Source organism: Homo sapiens, chromosome 20 (genome assembly GCF_000001405.40).
Source record: "Homo sapiens chromosome 20, GRCh38.p14 Primary Assembly".
Taxonomy (NCBI): Eukaryota; Metazoa; Chordata; class Mammalia; order Primates; family Hominidae; genus Homo; species Homo sapiens.
The window spans coordinates 39,798,889-39,816,317 of record NC_000020.11 but is presented as its reverse complement, the minus strand read 5'-3'; the positions used below and the strand labels follow the sequence as shown (position 1 = coordinate 39,816,317).

General features: G+C 38.8%; 1 long non-coding RNA gene across 2 annotated transcripts in view, besides 1 other annotated feature; it reads right to left on the bottom strand.

Moving 5' to 3' along the window:
• Nucleotides 1-289: 289 nt before the first annotated feature.
• The window catches only part of LOC105372614 (uncharacterized), a 58,827-nt gene continuing 41,687 nt past the window's right edge, over nt 290-17,429 (bottom strand). For both annotated transcript variants that reach the window (XR_936714.3, XR_001754592.2), the window contains one exon: nt 290-3,357. This is a non-coding gene — a long non-coding RNA (uncharacterized LOC105372614). The remainder of the gene's footprint in view (nt 3,358-17,429) is intronic.
• Nucleotides 14,794-15,993: an enhancer, noted in NCBI's record as "CDK7 strongly-dependent group 2 enhancer chr20:38428967-38430166 (GRCh37/hg19 assembly coordinates)". NCBI's record gives its function as "activates an origin of replication core promoter dependent on BRD2, BRD4, P300/CBP, MED14 and CDK7 cofactors, with strong dependence on CDK7, by STARR-seq in HCT116 cells {active_cell/tissue: HCT116}" and the evidence as "EXISTENCE:reporter gene assay evidence [ECO:0000049][PMID:35650434]".

Sequence of the window (17,429 nt, the reverse complement as noted above, 5' to 3'; positions counted from 1 at the left end):
CATATATGCAGAGCACAGAATGTGTAAATGATTGCCCAAGTTTGCATAGCCAATAATTAGCAGCACTAAGGTCTAAGCCCAGGCATTCTGGCCCCAAAAGCCATGTGCTTAGCCCTACCTCATACTTCTACTTAAATAGTCTCTTCTTTGCAAGCCTAACAAATACTGTCTTTATCTCAATTACATTACATTTAGGAAACTTGCATTTTTTAACACTGGCATTAGCCGTTTAATTTGTCTGTATCATATTCAATTTGAAATAATATTATATGCAAACTGCAATTAAAGATTATTTTCCAAGAGTGTTTTATTACAGGATTCCATCTTTTGAATAAAATTTTATCTTGAATCCAAAAATAAACAAAAAGTTTAGCTCTTCCAACTGAAGCAGGATGAATAGGTTGGCAGTTGTTGAAGATGATGGAGTGAGTTGGTGTGGAGGGAAGAAGGTGTGGATCTTGGCAGCTGCTCCCTCCCTGTGAAATTTTTTTCTAGAGAAGCTTTGGGCAACAGAATCAAAATAATAGTCTCAAAAATAAAAGCAACAAGATCACAAAAACAGAAACAAAGATGACAACCTGCTAAAACAGAACCGTTGACCAGCAGATAACAACAACATATGTGTCAATTTGAAATTGGCTTTTCACTGGCTGATGCAAAGTAGCCTAAATTTGGTTTCAAAATAGTATAGCAGAGTGTATGAAAGGGTGAGTTGATAAAACATTGAATGTAGTTAACCCCAGGGTCACACGCACTTTGGGAAAGAAAAAAATAGAGTTTTGTGGCAAAATACCCCAGCCCTCAAGTCCTTAAATCAAACCCAGCCACTTTCTTCAAGAAATATTCTCCGTGCTGGGATGCAATTTGATGTCCAAAATGTATATATTCCTTAGTTTTCCTGTGATGCCATTTTGAAAAGTCTGCACTTTCAAACTTTACGTATCGACAACCTCATACTGACTTTTCTGTGTTCATATTGCTTTTAGCTTTTGCTTTCTTTTAATTTAAAAAATGTAATACATGGTTTAAAAATGAAATAAATAAAAACTTCAAATGGTACTGAACAGTATCTTGAAAATATGTTTCTTTTTTACCAGAATACTAGCTGTAACCATTATAATGGTTTCCATTTTATCTTTCCAAAATTTTCACTGTAATGCTGAGTTGTGTATGTGTGTGTCTTTTGTATTTTATTTTATACACTCTTCTAAATCATGTCATTGTTATTTTCATTTGTTTGTTCTTATGTTTATTTTTACTTAGAAATACATCTTACAAAGTTTGTAAAAGTTTGCCTCATTCTCTATAGAGATTGGATATTTTCCTACATGTTGATAAAACAAATTATTCAACCAGTTCCCACTGACAGTTATCTAGGTTGTTTCTGATACTTAGTCACTGTAAGCAAGGCTACAATAAACCTCTTCATATATGTGTTGTTACAACAGTTTTAAGATAAATTCCTGAAATTCTAATTCCTGGAGCAAAGTGTATGTGGATTTAACAAGTGATAGATATTGGCAAACTGCCTTGCTATTCACTCTCCATATAGCTTAGACAGGGGCCATTTCTCTCCACCCTCCCCAGCACTTTGTATCATCAATTTCAAATGTTTTCACTTCAGCTAAGGAAGGAGAACTTGGATGATGGAATAGGGGTGCTCTTTGCCGGCCATATGTTCAGTTTATGTGGAGGCACCATCTTTATCTGTAAAACAGTGATTATTTGATAAAAAATTCTAGTTATTACCAACTTGAGGAGATTTCCAGTGTCTCTAAGAATGACAAGGTTGGGTCAATCGTGTCCTTATTTTGGTTAGCCCATGCTGCCTAGTAGACATTTGCAGCCTACATCTGTGGCTAATGCAAAAACAGTATGGTGTATAGGAACTTCCAAACATTAGAGGGAAATCTGAGAGAAGTAACCACAGTATCACCCTGCCTCAGAAGCAAGGTTCTGACTGGCTAAGACCAGCGAATGGGAATCGACTGGTGTTTTCACATCCAGCACTGGCACACACTTTGCATAAAACAAGGGTCCATGCCAGGATGATCTTAAGCACCTGTGAGCAGTCTGTCCCTTTGATGGGGTAAGAGAACCAGACATACCTGAAAGCCCGAGGCAGACAAACCTGCAAGCCTAGGCTTAGGTGGGCGTGATTTTCATTTATAAAGTGCCTGCCTTAGAGATCATTTTAAAGAAAGGCCTTAACAAGAAATTTTTGGGTCATTGGGCCAAAGTAAGTGTGGCTAAGTGACTAAGGAGAGACTGCTTTCTGATGCCTACCCCAAATTCTACATTCATGGAGATTGAATTAATGAGATTTTACTATGCAGAACTCTGAACTCACAGAATAGACAAATCAGTAGAGGCTTAGACTGAGGTTCAGAATTCACTCTGGGTTTAATTTAAGAAATGCTCTAGGTACCTACATTTAGAATAAGCTTTAATTTGCTGGGGCAGCTCTGGTACAGAGAGAAAAGCAGGACTTATTTCCCGGCAGAGTTTCCATTTATGGGCTGTGAGACCTGGGAATAATATCTACTTCACAGGTGTTAATGCGAGCACTGAAACAGATGATGTATATGAGGGCTTTGGGAAAGTGGAGTGCTATAACCCATGTGCAAGCTTGGCTTTCCAGGACACGGCAGCCCTGAAGAAGAAGCAGGCCCTGCACACATGGCTCCAGTTCTACCCCAGCTGGGAGAATGAAAGGTCCAGCTCTACTTACACACTTCCTCGAGTATTTTGGGGCGTCCTCACAGGGTGTCTTTGGATTCTTGCAAGCATGGACTTTTCTCTCACTCCATAGCATCCTTCGTGTTCTTCATTTCTGCTTCTGCTCTTACTGCTACAGTTCTTGGCACCCTCAAGCAATAATGAAAGTGTGAGTGCATCTCTGGCTCATGCAGATGCTGTCAGGGCCACCTCCCACTCAAGCCCTTAGAAAATGACATCTTTTTTGGTCATGGAAGTTTCCAGTCCATGCAGCTTTGTCTCTCTCCTATGCAAATAATATTGCTCACAAAGAAAAGGAGCTTTCTCTGATTATCTATGGCTTCCCCAACATATCACCCCACATGCCATGTTGCTTCAGTAATGATGGTGTTTATTTTGCTCATGAATCTGCAGTTTGACTAGGGCTCGGTGGAAAGATCATCTCAGTTCCACTTGGTGTCAAAGGCAGGGGACTGAAATCATCTAAAAGCTCATGCACTCCCATCTTCCACAATTGATGCTGACTGAGAGCTGGAACCTTAGCTAGAGCCAGGACAAGAACACCTTTATGTGATCTTCACATGTAGCTGGTTGGTTACATGTGCATGGCATGGTTTTGGGCTCCAAGGGTGTGGGTGCCTACAAGAGAGAGAAAAGGCTATATTATCTCTTGTAACCTAGCCTCAGAAACCATACAATACCATTGCTCTGTATAATATTTGTTAGATGCAAGTAATTTCTAACTTCTAAGGCTGGAACATAATCAAGAGGAAGGAAATTAAAATCCACCTCTTGGTGGTAGGAGTGTCAAAAATTTATAGACATATTCCAAAACCAATGCATCCTTATACCTACCTCTACAAGTATGACATTACACAACATGGGCTAAAAACCTGCTTTGCCTGGCAGTAGCAGGTTTTGAGTCTCTATTATAATTTATTAATGAAATACTTCTTGCCATTTTTATTGGCAGTGTTTGCTTGCAGTCCGCTTGCCCTGGGACTCAGATGTAAATTTCTTCGTGCTCCATTGCGAAAATGACACTCTTCTGTATTCACAATTATACATTTATTTAGTAACCAAGGTTTCATTTGTGGACTGTATTATTAACCACTGTTGTGTAACAAACCATCTCCAAAGTCTCCCAATTCTGCAGAATGGCTAGTTCAGTTGATCTCTGCTCTGTCTTTCAATCTCCTGTAACCATGGGGCTAGTCAGGGCATGTTTAGCTCACAATGACGGTAGAAACATAGAGCAAGTGGAAGCAGAGGAGGCCTCTTGCCCTAGTCTCTGAATCAGCCCACTATGACTCCTACCCATATGCCATTGGCTAAAACAGATTCACGTGACTACTCCAAAGTCAAGAGTCAGGAAAATGTACTGCATCCATGAGGCCAGGGTATGTGTGTGGAGACAGGAAAGGGTGCAGGATAAAAGCCAATCATGCTGTCTCACCCATTAATCAATTTTGTGTATGTTGACTTTCTCTGGTCCTTAAGGCAGAGATTGCAAACATCACCACCCCTGACTCCTGCCTCAATGACAATTTTGGTGAAAGGATTCTGCATTCCTTATAGATGATTTGCAACACTCCTCAGAATGTTTCTCAGTATGGTAATATGTAGATTCACTGGTAATTGATAAGATCTGGTAAATGAAATAAACCACGTTTAGAGAAAATTCCATCCCAAGTGGCTCCTGTATTCCCAATTCAAAGTCCCAATCCCAACCATGCTAAGCTCTCCGGGCTTGCCTAGACATGTAGAGATGCTAAGGTGTGAACAACTGAGGCTGCCAATAGAAAGTGTGTTGAGAATGGTCTTTTGAATTATACACACCATTTTTGCTTACCTGTTCCTTCTTGAATAAGGGAGACCAAATTGGTATAATCATGCACACAAACCGTGAACTAAGGAAACATTGTTCTGAACTCTATGATTAGTCTATTTTCAAAAAGGTCTTTTAAAATCACCTTTCTTTATGTATGGGGAAAGGATGGAATCCCTCACATGCTAGAGGTTAGACTGAAAGTTCTGTGTCACATGTACACATATACATACACATCATATACACATAGGGAACTATTCGAATCAGGCACCCAGAGGTGATTACTGCTCTAAGAGTCACATTTTCCTATAAAGGAAGATAGTGATGAGGACACTAGAACATAATCCCTTGTTCCTTTTTAAAAAATTGTTATGGCCACTCAGAAGCTGTCATATACTAAGAAATTAGTATAGTTGTTATTATATTATAAAAAAATGAGAAACACTTTTCTATGTGTTGTAACCATTTAGAAGTAAACAATTTCCTTTGGGTGCATTAATAGCATCTTAGAATACAAAAGAAAAAATTAATTAATCAGAACATACTCCTGTAGAAGTGCCTCCCCTCCTCCTTGGTCCCCAGCCTTCCCTCTCCTTCTCTGCTACGAGGCCAGCAGAGGTCAACAGGGCAGGGTTGGTGTAGGGAACCAACACCAGTGAAGATGAGAGGCAGAGCTATCAGGGAAGAGGGCAGGTAGGCTAGGTGCCTGCAGTCTGCAGAAGGCTGAGAGCAAGGATGCTTCTGAAGAAAGAAAAATAAAACCAATTCTGGAATCTGTATCCAAGCTGACAATGACCATACAGATTAATGTGTTCAACAGGGAGCTACTGACCTTCCAACCCTCTAGGCAAGCTTTCTTTTTTCTTTTCTTTTCTTTTCTTTTTTCTTTTTCTTTTTTTGCCTCTCCTCTTCACAGTGCAGGTCTGGCCTAGCCCACCAGCCCCAAAGCATGATAGTCATCTCTCAGGGGAGAATTGCTACCTTCTGAAGAAAGGCTGACAGTTTAGGATTGAAACATTAATAATGTCCCTAGGGCTAAAGCATTCCCTTTTCCAGGACAGACTGGATAACCCATCTAGATGGTGAGGGGTTTAGGGAGGCACATTGGACTGGTTCTTATCACAAAACATTCAGTGAAGAAGTTGCTAAGACACATCAGCCAATCCAGCCAAAGTGCTAATTGGTTTGCAATTCCCCTAATTAGTGTGTCATCTACCTGGACAGCTTAGCAGCTGGCTGGAAGCCCAGACCCTGCCCAGCCAAATTCACAGTTCCCAGAATTTGGAAGTGCAACAGCAGTGACAATTCCACACCTCATCCACACGTGGGCATGCCCACCCGCACATACACACCTTCTTGCTGAGATGTAAAGATAACAGGTTCTCACAATGTTGCTAACAATCTCATTAGGCTGTTTGATGTGAGGAGGAAGCAAGAGTGGTTCTAACTTTGCTCTAACACTTTGTGAACAGACTATAGAGTTGCTCAGATTAGCTTCATCATGAAGCAAAGACTGCAGTTATGAGTAAAAAGTGTAAAGAAGGCTTAAGGCTCTCAAATATCTCCTCCATCATAGCTAAGAGACACTACGACAAGCTATTAGCCCCTCAGGATTAAGCACCACCTTCTCTCTGCATCCCACATATTCTCTAAATAACTGGGACACTTCTTAGAGTTCCAGGCTTTTAAACTTGGGTGGCATAATGGCCTTTTTGAAGGGAAAAAAAATTACCTGTATGTCCAATGTTTATATAAATTATTTGTCATAATATAACTTCAAAGTATATAAAATAAAGCTCTATATTAACTGTTTATCTTCATGGTTCATGTATGACTATAGCAAAAAACACATTTACAACTTCAATGGAAACAAAACAATAATAACCATTCCATTTGAACTAACAATATCAATTCAGTGTGGCATCTTGTATTGTGTTCCTGAAATTAAATTGCCATTTGAAATCTGAACATGACACTGATAGCTATATTTTTACAGTATCTTTGCCGCCTGACAAGCCCATACTATGGTGCACTGTGCCATGATTCAATTCCTGTCCCCATCCCCTCACGCTGTTTGCCTGTTTGAACTGCTATGAAAGCTTTATTCATACAAATGAATTGAAGATATCCACTGACCTTCACTTAGAATGAACACCTCATTTATTCGGTAAGATCTCTTATCTTTTTTTTTAAATTATTTTGGTGGGGCAGGGTGCTGGGCTTCTTGCATTAAAACACAAATGCAAGTATAGTGAAATAAAAGTAAAACTAAGAGTAGTGATCTTTATGACCCAGAATATATTTGTATTACTGCTTTTTTCTATTATTACCAGAGCAATAAAGACACTGTTGGCCAAACAATTAACACTTACTCATTGTAGAAAATTGCACACCTCCCTTCTCTCTCTCCCAGAAGATTCCTTTACTCTGCATGTACATTGGCCCCCAGCAGTATTCCAGATGCCTCTCAATATTAGGGTGAATACATCTCAGATTAGCATTACAATTCTTGCTATATTTGTGCAGCTACAGTTTTTGTAAGTTTTTGTTTTGTTTTTTTTCCAAACGAAAGCTTTGCAAAGCCCTATGTTTATGTAACATAACCTAGGACAGGCTAAAGTTGTCAAAAAAATGAGACACTTTGAGACTTTGAAATGTCTAAATTCACCAATACATGCCTGGAAAATAAGGCAGTCAATATTTGGATCTTCTTCAATGTACAGAAAAGTCTAGAGAGGCTAAGCCCCTTGGGAGAAGCTGGGTGTTTGCTCTGAACAAGGGCCAAAACTAGGATAAGTAAGTCACTCAGCCAAAAAATTAAAGGAGTTGTCAAGAAACTCAGTAATCACGGTAAATAATAATTTAATACAATATATTTTTAGACATTAAAATTTATGCAAAAAAAATCCATGATGAAAATAATCAAAATTTTAAATAAAGACTGTTGATCTATTTAGCCATATTGAGCCTGAGGCAAAACATGTGTGTGTGTGTACATGCACACATTTCTATACATATTTTTATGTGTTTTCCTAGTGGTTTTTTGCAGAATATTAAAATAGTTGAAAAAATATTGAAAAATGAAATGTAAGTATTAAAATAAACATTATTCTCAGCTTAAGTATAGTATATATACCCAAATATATTTATGATCATTTTAATTTAGCTTCAGTTAATGAAAATGTATTCAAAATTGTCACTGGGTGAAGAGAAATTGTCAGTATGACAATTCTCTTCTTTGAAAATGAAACTAGCAATGAAGTAGATTTTGAAAATATTGTTGATGTGTTTACTTCCATTATAGCCAGAGTATACATTTTTCCTTCTGCCTCAGGCACCAATAAGGCTTGGCACAGCAGCACCCTGGCCAAGGCAGAGGGTAGATTTGAAGATTAATTGATGCCTGGAACAGAATAAATAGTTATTAAATATTAATTGTTATCATTGTTATCATAATCCCTTTTCATGCACTCCAAAGCAGAGCCAGGCCTTCTGGCTAACTGTGCCAAATTCAATTCTGAGAATTTGAGGGGAAGATGCGGGGAGCAAGCTTGACAATAATAATGACTTCTTAAAGTCTCCAAGTGCCACTGTGACCCATGGTGCTGGCATCCAATTTGCACTATCTCCATAACGACCTCAGGAGTAATGCGTGCCTCACTGCCCCCCTTCTCCTAGGGCCTTCTGCCCCCCTTGACCACTTGGGCAGAGGAAAATTTGAATCCTGTAGGAAAGAGGGGAAAATGGAAATAACAAAATGTTGCAATAGGATTTGGGTTAAAGTCCAGACAGTGTCCAAAATTTATACCCCTATGTTCACCCTTACATGAAAATGGGGATATTAAAACTTACTTCTTAGAGATGTTTGGAGAATTAAATGCCCTGAGTTTTATAGTGTCTGAAGCTGTACCCTGCACATGCTATGCCAGAAATAAATGTTTATTAATGGAAAAAGAAGGAAAGAAAGGATGTTTATCTATTTCTTATTACTGCATAATAAATTACCATAAGCTTTAATGGCTTCAAATAACACCATTTTTATCTCACAGTTCTATAAGTTTGGAAGTCCAGGTGGGCTCAACAGGTTTCTCTGCTGAGTATTTTGCAAAGCTCCAGTTATAGTGTCAGCTGGGCTGGGCTCTTATCTGGAGAAACTGGGGAAAAAACCTACATCAAAGCTCATTCAGACTGTTGAAAGAATCCATTTCTTCATTGCTATAGGACTGAGGTTCCTGTTTCCTCACTGGCTGTCAGATGGGGACCATTCAGCTTCTCATGTCTCATCATGCCCCTCCATCTTCAAAGCTACCATCAAATTTTATTATTATTATTATTAATTATTATTATTATTATTATACTTTAAGTTTTAGGTTATTACTCACAATAGCAAAGACTTGGAACTAACCCAAATGTCCAACAATGATAGGCTACCATCAAATTCTTATGATGAAAATCTCTCTGACACCCTCTGCAGTCCTCTTCTGTTACCAGCTGGAGAAAATCCTGTTTTGAAAGGGGCTCGTGAAACTAGATTAGGCAGATAATCTTTCTGTGTTAAAGTTAACTGTGCATTAAAATGTAAGATAATCATGGAGGTGATAGTTCATAGATTCCGGATATTAGGGTATGGAAACTTGGTGGCTGTTATTAAAATTATGCCTACCACCAGACAGAAGGACAAAGTTAAGAAAGAGTGAAATAGTAGCATGTTCTTCAAATAGGCTGGTTTCATGCAAGATATTTTCTCTTTCACTTAATCTTCATAACAGCATTACATGATAAGTAATGTGCCCATTTTATAGATGAGGAAACTTCAGCTACTGAACCTGTCTCCTAAAGTCTCAGTGTCAGCAAGTCTAATCCAAGACTCCACATTTGTATGTCAAAATAAGAGAAAAACAAATTTTATATAAAAATTATAAAGTAATTAAAGGCTTGATTTCTTTTAGGGAAAATGATATGATCATTGACAAGCTTATCCAAGACAACTATTCACCATATTACCCCCTGCTTCCATATTTCCACTTGTCTTCACTCAATTCTTGGTGATCTTGGGTCTACAGATTTTATGCACAATAAGCTATACCCTTCCCTGTGTCCTTCCAAAATGTTGCAAGGAACATACTGGTTAGATACCAGGCTTTTTACCCTAGCTAATATGGACCCATGTTGCTGTAACAATTGTTATGTTTTTAATTCCAATTGAGAGTTGTTCCTTTGCACATGACTTTGTTTTCTTTTTTTTTACTTTATTTAAATGAAGTTTATTAATAGTTGATTATCTGTACATAAGAAACTGCTACTAAAAGTTACACTGGCTTTCAAAACTCTGCAAAACCATTTATGCCATTAGAAATTATCTGAAAATATATTTTTTTCTTTTTTTTATTATACTTTAAGTTTTAGGGTACATGTGCACATTGTGCAGGTTAGTTACATACGTATACATGTGCCATGCTGGTGCGCTGCACCCACTAACTCGTCATCTAGCATTAGGTATATCTCCCGATGCTATCCCTCCCCCCTCCCCCCACCCCACCACAGTCCCCAGAGTGTAATATTCCCCTTCCTGTGTCCATGTGATCTCATTGTTCAATTCCCACCTATGAGTGAGAATACGCGGTGTTTGGTTTTTTGTTCTTGCGATAGTTTACTGAGAATGATGATTTCCAATTTCATCCATGTCCCTACAAAGGACATGAACTCATCATTTTTTATGGCTGCATAGTATTCCATGGTGTATATGTGCCACATTTTCTTAATCCAGTCTATCATTGTTGGACATTTGGGTTGGTTCCAAGTCTTTGCTATTGTGAATAATGCCGCAATAAACATACGTGTGCATGTGTCTTTATAGCAGCATGATTTATAGTCCTTTGGGTATATACCCAGTAAAGGGATGGCTGGGTCAAATGGTATTTCCAGTTCTACATCCCTGAGGAATCGCCACACTGACTTCCACAATGGTTGAACTAGTTTACAGTCCCACCAACAGTGTAAAAGTGTTCCTATTTCTCCACATCCTCTCCAGCACCTGTTGTTTCCTGACTTTTTAATGATTGCCATTCTAACTGGTGTGAGATGGTATCTCATTGTGGCTTTGATTTGCATTTCTCTGATGGCCAGTGATGATGAGCGTTTTTTCATGTGTTTTTTGGCTGCATAAATGTCTTCTTTTGAGAAGTGTCTGTTCATGTCCTTCACCCACTTTTTGATGGGGTTGTTTGTTTTTTTCTTGTAAATTTGTTTGAGTTCATTGTAGATTCTGGATATTAGCCCTTTGTCAGATGAGTAGGTTGCAAAAATTTTCTCCCATTTTGTAGGTTGCCTGTTCACTCTGATGGTAGTTTCTTTTGCTGTGCAGAAGCTCTTTAGTTTAATTAGATCCCATTTGTCAATTTTGTCTTTTGTTGCCATTGCTTTTGGTGTTTTAGACATGAAGTCCTTGCCCATGCCTATGTCCTGAATGGTAATGCCTAGGTTTTCTTCTAGGGTTTTTATGGTTTTAGGTCTAACGTTTAAGTCTTTAATCCATCTTGAATTGATTTTTCTATAAGGTGTAAGGAATGGATCCAGTTTCAGCTTTCTACATATGGCTAGCCAGTTTTCCCAGCACCATTTATTAAATAGGGAATCCTTTCCCCATTGCTTGTTTTTCTCAGGTTTGTCAAAGATCAGATAGTTGTAGATATGCGGCGTTATTTCTGAGGGCTCTGTTCTGTTCCATTGATCTATATCTCTGTTTTGGTACCAGTACCATGCTGTTTTGGTTACTGTAGCTTTGTAGTATAGTTTGAAGTCAGGTAGTGTGATGCCTCCAGCTTTGTTCTTTTGGCTTAGGATTGACTTGGTGATGCGGGCTCTTTTTTGGTTCCATATGAACTTTAAAGTAGTTTTTTCCAATTCTGTGAAGAAAGTCATTGGTAGCTTGATGGGGATGGCATTGAATCTGTAAATTACCTTGGGCAGTATGGCCATTTTCACGATATTGATTCTTCCTACCCATGAGCATGGAATGTTCTTCCATTTGTTTGTATCCTCTTTTATTTCATGGAGCAGTGGTTTGTAGTTCTCCTTGAAGAGGTCCTTCAACATCCCTTGTAAGTTGGATTACTAGGTATTTTATTCTCTTTGAAGCAATTGTGAATGGGAGTTCACTCATGATATGGATCTCTGTTTGTCTGTTGTTGGTGTTTAAGAATGCTTGTGATTTTGGTACATTGATTTTGTATCCTGAGACTTTGCTGAAGTTGCTTATCAGCTTAAGGAGATTTTGGGCTGAGACAATGGGGTTTTCTAGATATACAATCATGTCGTCTGCAAACAGGGACAATTTAACTTCCTCTTTTCCTAATTGAATACCCTTTATTTCCTTCTCCTGCCTAATTGCCCTGGCCAGAACTTCCAACAAATATGTTGAATAGGAGTGGTGAGAGAGGGCATCCCTGTCTTGTGCCAGTTTTCAAAGGGAATGCTTCCAGTTTTTGCCCATTCAGTATGATATTGGCTGTGGGTTTGTCATAGATAGCTCTTATTATTTTGAAATACGTCCCATCAATACCTAATTTATTGAGAGTTTTTAGCATGAAGGGTTGTTGAATTTTGTCAAAGGCTTTTTCTGCATCTATTGAGATAATCATGTGGTTTTTGTCTTTGGCTCTGTTTATATGCTGGATTACATTTATTGATTTGCATATATTGAACCAGCCTTGCATCCCAGGGATGAAGCCCACTTGATCATGATGGATAAGCTTTTTGATGTGCTGCTGGATTCATTTTGCCTGTATTTTATTGAGGATTTTTGCATCAATATTCATCAAGGATGTTGGTCTAAAATTCTCTTTTTTGGTTGTGTCTCTGCCTGGCTTTGGTATCAGAATGATGCTGGCCTCATAAAATGAGTTAGGGAGGATTCCCTCTTTTTCTATTGATTGGAATAGTTTCAGAAGGAATGGTACCAGTTCCTCCTTGTACCTCTGGTAGAATTCGGCTGTGAATCCATCTGGTCCTGGACTCTTTTTGGTTGGTAAGCTATTGATTATTGCCACAATTTCAGATCCTGTTATTGGTCTATTCAGAGATTCAACTTCTTCCTGGTTTAGTCTTGGGAGAGTGTATGTGTCCAGGAATTTATCCATTTCTTCTAGATGTTCTAGTTTATTTGCATAGAGGTGTTTGTAGTATTCTCTGATGGTAGTTTGTATTTGTGTGGGATCGGTGGTGATATCCCCTTTATCATTTTTTATTGCGTCTATTTGATTCTTCTCTCTTTTTTTCTTTATTAGTCTTGCTAGCGGTCTATCAATTTTGTTGATCCTTTCAAAACACCAGCTCCTGGATTCATTAATTTTTTGAAGGGTTTTTTGTGTCTCTATTTCCTTCAATTCTGCTCTGATTTTAGTTATTTCTTGCCTTCTGCTAGCTTTTGAATGTGTTTGCTCTTGCTTTTCTAGTTCTTTTAATTGTGATGTTAGGGTGTCAATTTTGGATCTTTCCTGCTTTCTCTTGTGGGCATTTAGTGCTATAAATTTCCCTCTACACACTGCTTTGAATGCGTCCCAGAGATTCTGGTATGTTATGTCTTTGTTCTCGTTGGTTTCAAAGAACATCTTTATTTCTGCCTTCATTTCGTTATGTACCCAGTAGTCATTCAGGAGCAGGTTGTTCAGTTTCCATGTAGTTGAGCGGTTTTGAGTGAGATTCTTAATCCTGAGTTCTAGTTTGATTGCACTGTGGTCTGAGAGATAGTTTGTTATAATTTCTGTTCTTTTACATTTGCTGAGGAGAGCTTTACTTCCAACTATGTGGTCAATTTTGGACTAGGTGTGGTGTGGTGCTGAAAAAAATGTATATTCTGTTGATTTGGGGTGGAGAGTTCTGTAGATATCTATTAGGTCCGCTTGGTGCAGAGCTGAGTTCAATTCCTGGGTATCCTTGTTGACTTTCTGTCTCGTTGATCTGTCTAATGTTGACAGTGGGGTGTTAAAGTCTCCCATTATTATTGCGTGGGAGTCTAAGTCTCTTTGTAGGTCACTCAGGACTTGCTTTATGAATCTTGGTGCTCCTGTATTGGGTGCATATATATTTAGGATAGTTAGCTCTTCTTGTTGAATTCCGGGAAGCTGGAACTGGGTGGAGCCCACCACAGCTCAAGGAGGCCTGCCTGCCTCTGTAGGCTCCGCCTCTGGGGGCAGGGCACAGACAAACAAAAAGACAGCAGTAACCTCTGCAGACTTAAATGTCCCTGTCTGACAGCTTTGAAGAGAACAGTGGTTCTCCCAGCACGTAGCTGGAGATCTGAGAACGGGCAGACTGCCTCCTCAAGTGGGTCCCTGACCCCTGACCCCCGAGCAGCCTAACTGGGAGGCACCCCCCAGCAGGGGCATACTGACACCTCACACGGCAGGGTACTCCAACAGACCTGCAGCTGAGGGTCCTCTCTGTTAGAAGGAAAACTAACAAACAGAAAGGACATCCACACCAAAAACCCATCTGTACATCACCATCATCAAAGACCAAAAGTAGATAAAACCACAAAGATGGGGAAAAAACAGAACAGAAAAACTGGAAACTCTAAAAAGCAGAGCGCCTCTCCTCCTCCAAAGGAACGCAGTTCCTCACCAGCAACGGAACAAAGCTGGATGGAGAATGACTTTGACGAGCTGAGAGAAGAAGGCTTCAGACGATCAAATTACTCTGAGCTACGGGAGGACATTCAAACCAAAGGCGAAGAAGTTGAAAACTTTGAAAAAAAATTAGAAGAATGTATAACTAGAATAACCAATACAGAGAAGTGCTTAAAGGAGCTGAAAACCAAGGCTCGAGAACTACATGAAGAATGCAGAAGCCTCAGGAGCCGATGCGATCAACTGGAAGAAAGGGGATCAGCGATGGAAGATGAAATGAATGAAATGAAGCGAGAAGGGAAGTTTAGGGAAAAAAGAATAAAAAGAAATGAGCAAAGCCTCCAAGAAATATGGGACTATGTGAAAAGACCAAATCTACGTCTGATTGGTGTACCTGAAAGTGATGGGGAGAATGGAAACAAATTGGAAAACACTCTGCAGGATATTATCCAGGAGAACTTCCCCCATCTAGCAAGGCAGGCCAACGTTAAGATTCAGGAAATACAGAGAACGCCACAAAGATACTCCTCGAGAAGAGCAACTCCAAGACACATAATTGTCAGATTCACCAAAGTTGAAATGAAGGAAAAAATGTTAAGGGCAGCCAGAGAGAAAGGTCGGGTTACCCTCAAAGGGAAGCCCATCAGACTTTGTTTTCTAATTCTGCAGTTTGGAAGATATAGTTCTGGTGCCTAAATACTGGAAATTCAGGAATTTGCTAAAGTTCTGTGGGAGAATGTTTTGAGAAAATTTAAGTGCATGATCATTGGATTACCTACTCTACTACAGACTTTATATGAGCCTCAGAAGATTTGTCTGTGAATACCACAGCCATAGCCTTGATCCTCATCGAGTTGGGAGTTTCATGAGATTGTGGAACTATACCTTGGTTCCTTTTCCATAAGATGGGACCAAGAAATATTTAAAACTAAAAACAGATGTCACCTCACCCAAGGGCTTTCCCTAAAAGATAAAATTAATGGATGGTGTAGTGATCAGTACTGTGGGTCCTAGTAGTCTAACTTAGGCCACTTAATATAATCTGTATTTAAAACTAAATTTGATATGAACTTTGGAGTCTTTAAAAACTATTTTTCTATTTAACCTTTTTGTCTCTGTTTTATCCTTGTTTTATAGTTGTAATTCTTTCTGAAAAGTTCTAAATTATTCTGGAGAACCAAAAGGAAGCAGGATTTTTCCCCCTTTTAAGTCAGGATAGACAGGGAAGCAATATGACTCTAGATAATTAACTTGGGAGTTCTGGCTGTCCTTGGGAGAGGGCCAGTGTCCCAGGAGGAAAGCCAGATGGGGTCAGAGACCTCAAACTGACAGATGTGGCAGTGGAGGGTTCCAGGAAGAAAGATCAGAGCTTGCCCAGAAAAGAGAGCCACTTGCCCAGATGCAAAACCCCAGAGGACTGAAGGTAAAGGCTTGTGCAGTATTTTGGCTGAGTCATGGGAGAAACTAGTCAGCAGCTAAGGTCAAGTTTAGGACAAAGAAACGCTGCACAAGGAGGCTGAGAAAGAAGAAACAGGATAGGGGAGAAGATGTCTGTAGGACCCTGAGGAGTAAGTAGTATCTATGTAATGCTTTTATTTAACCCTTTTTGTGGTCCTACCATGTATATAGAAATGTAACAATATATCCATATCTTGAAATTCAAAGAATTCTAGGAGCAGCAAATAAATTTGCCCCATTGTTTTTGTGTTATGGAGAAATAAAAACTAAAATTTGAAGAACAGAGAGTAAGACGAAACTGTCTGTGAAAACTGTCCAATCTTTCTCAAGTGTGTCATCACAATGTTAAGTTTCTTCTGGGTAACTTGCTGACCCAGAAGCAAAGGATAGTCTCAGGTATGACTCAGTCCTCTATGTCCGAGACAGCTGACACCCACTCACTTGAGAGAGGATGGAAGGCTTTATCCTGGAGACTTGTCTCATTTATGTAAGGGGTTTTGGACCACAGTTTATGTATTCTGATGATGTTTACAAAGTGCCTTTGTCTATGCTAATTTTTAAAAGACCTATTTAAATTACAATTCATATAAAGTTTATTGAATAGCACAATTTACCATGTTTGCCTGCTTTCTTCTTTAAAACAATGATGTTGCTTGTAATATTTTTATAATAACACTAAGCAACTAACGAGAACAACTCACACAAAATAATACCTTCTTTGGACCAGACTGACCTAAGCAATGAGGACACAGATGGAAAAGACATGTCAGAATTCCAACTAATAAATATAGAAGGAAAGATGAGATTAGAAAATCACCACTTGGCAACCACAAGAGTAATAATTGTTTCAGGCAAGGATCATCAATGGATGCTAAAATTAGTAGGTGAAAGTACTATGAGAAACAAGATATTTGCATAGTCTCAAAGTATTTCCCCACAAGATACTAATTAATTGCAAAGAGAAAAATAGTAACTTCACAGTGGAGAAGCCTGGCAGACACTCTTTTAATGAAGCAATTATAGTTAACATCACAAAAAAACAGGACAAATCAACATCATGTGCCTCATGATATGATGCACCGAGAAGGATACAGCATGACTTCTGTGGTTTTTCTGCCAAAGTTGCATGGTCTGAATATAATTATGAGGAAACCTCAGACAAACCCAAATTAAGAGACATTCTACTAAATACCCGGTCTCTCCTTTTCAAATGTGCCAAGTTTATAAAAGACAAAGAAAGGCTGAGGAACTGTTCCAGATTCAAGAGTAACAAAAGGACATGATGGATTAGACAGACATGGCAACTAAATACAACCTGTGAGTGTGGATAAGATCCTGGACTTGGAACCTTGGATTTAGTGGGACAACTAGTAAACTTTGAATAAGGCCTCTATTGACTAGTTAATAGTACTGAATCAATGTTAATTTCTTGATTTCGATCATTTAACTGTGATTACATAAGAAGATGCCCTTGATTTTAGGAAATTCGTACTGAAACATCTAGAGGTAAAGGAGTATCATGTGCAACCTTCATTTAAACATTTCATAATAAAGTGTGTATGTGTGTCTGTGTGTGTGTCTGTGTGTGTGTAGATAGGTGATAGGTAGATAGAAAGATAGAACGGTAAGCAAATGTAGTACATTTTTAAAATTTGCAGACAATCTAAGTAAAGGTCATATACTCTTTTAAATTTTTTCTATAATTCTGAAATTATTTTAAAACAAAAAGTGAACGATAATAACACATAGATAAAAAGAAAAAAAGACAGTCTCTGCCATCAAGGAGCTCACAGCCTCAT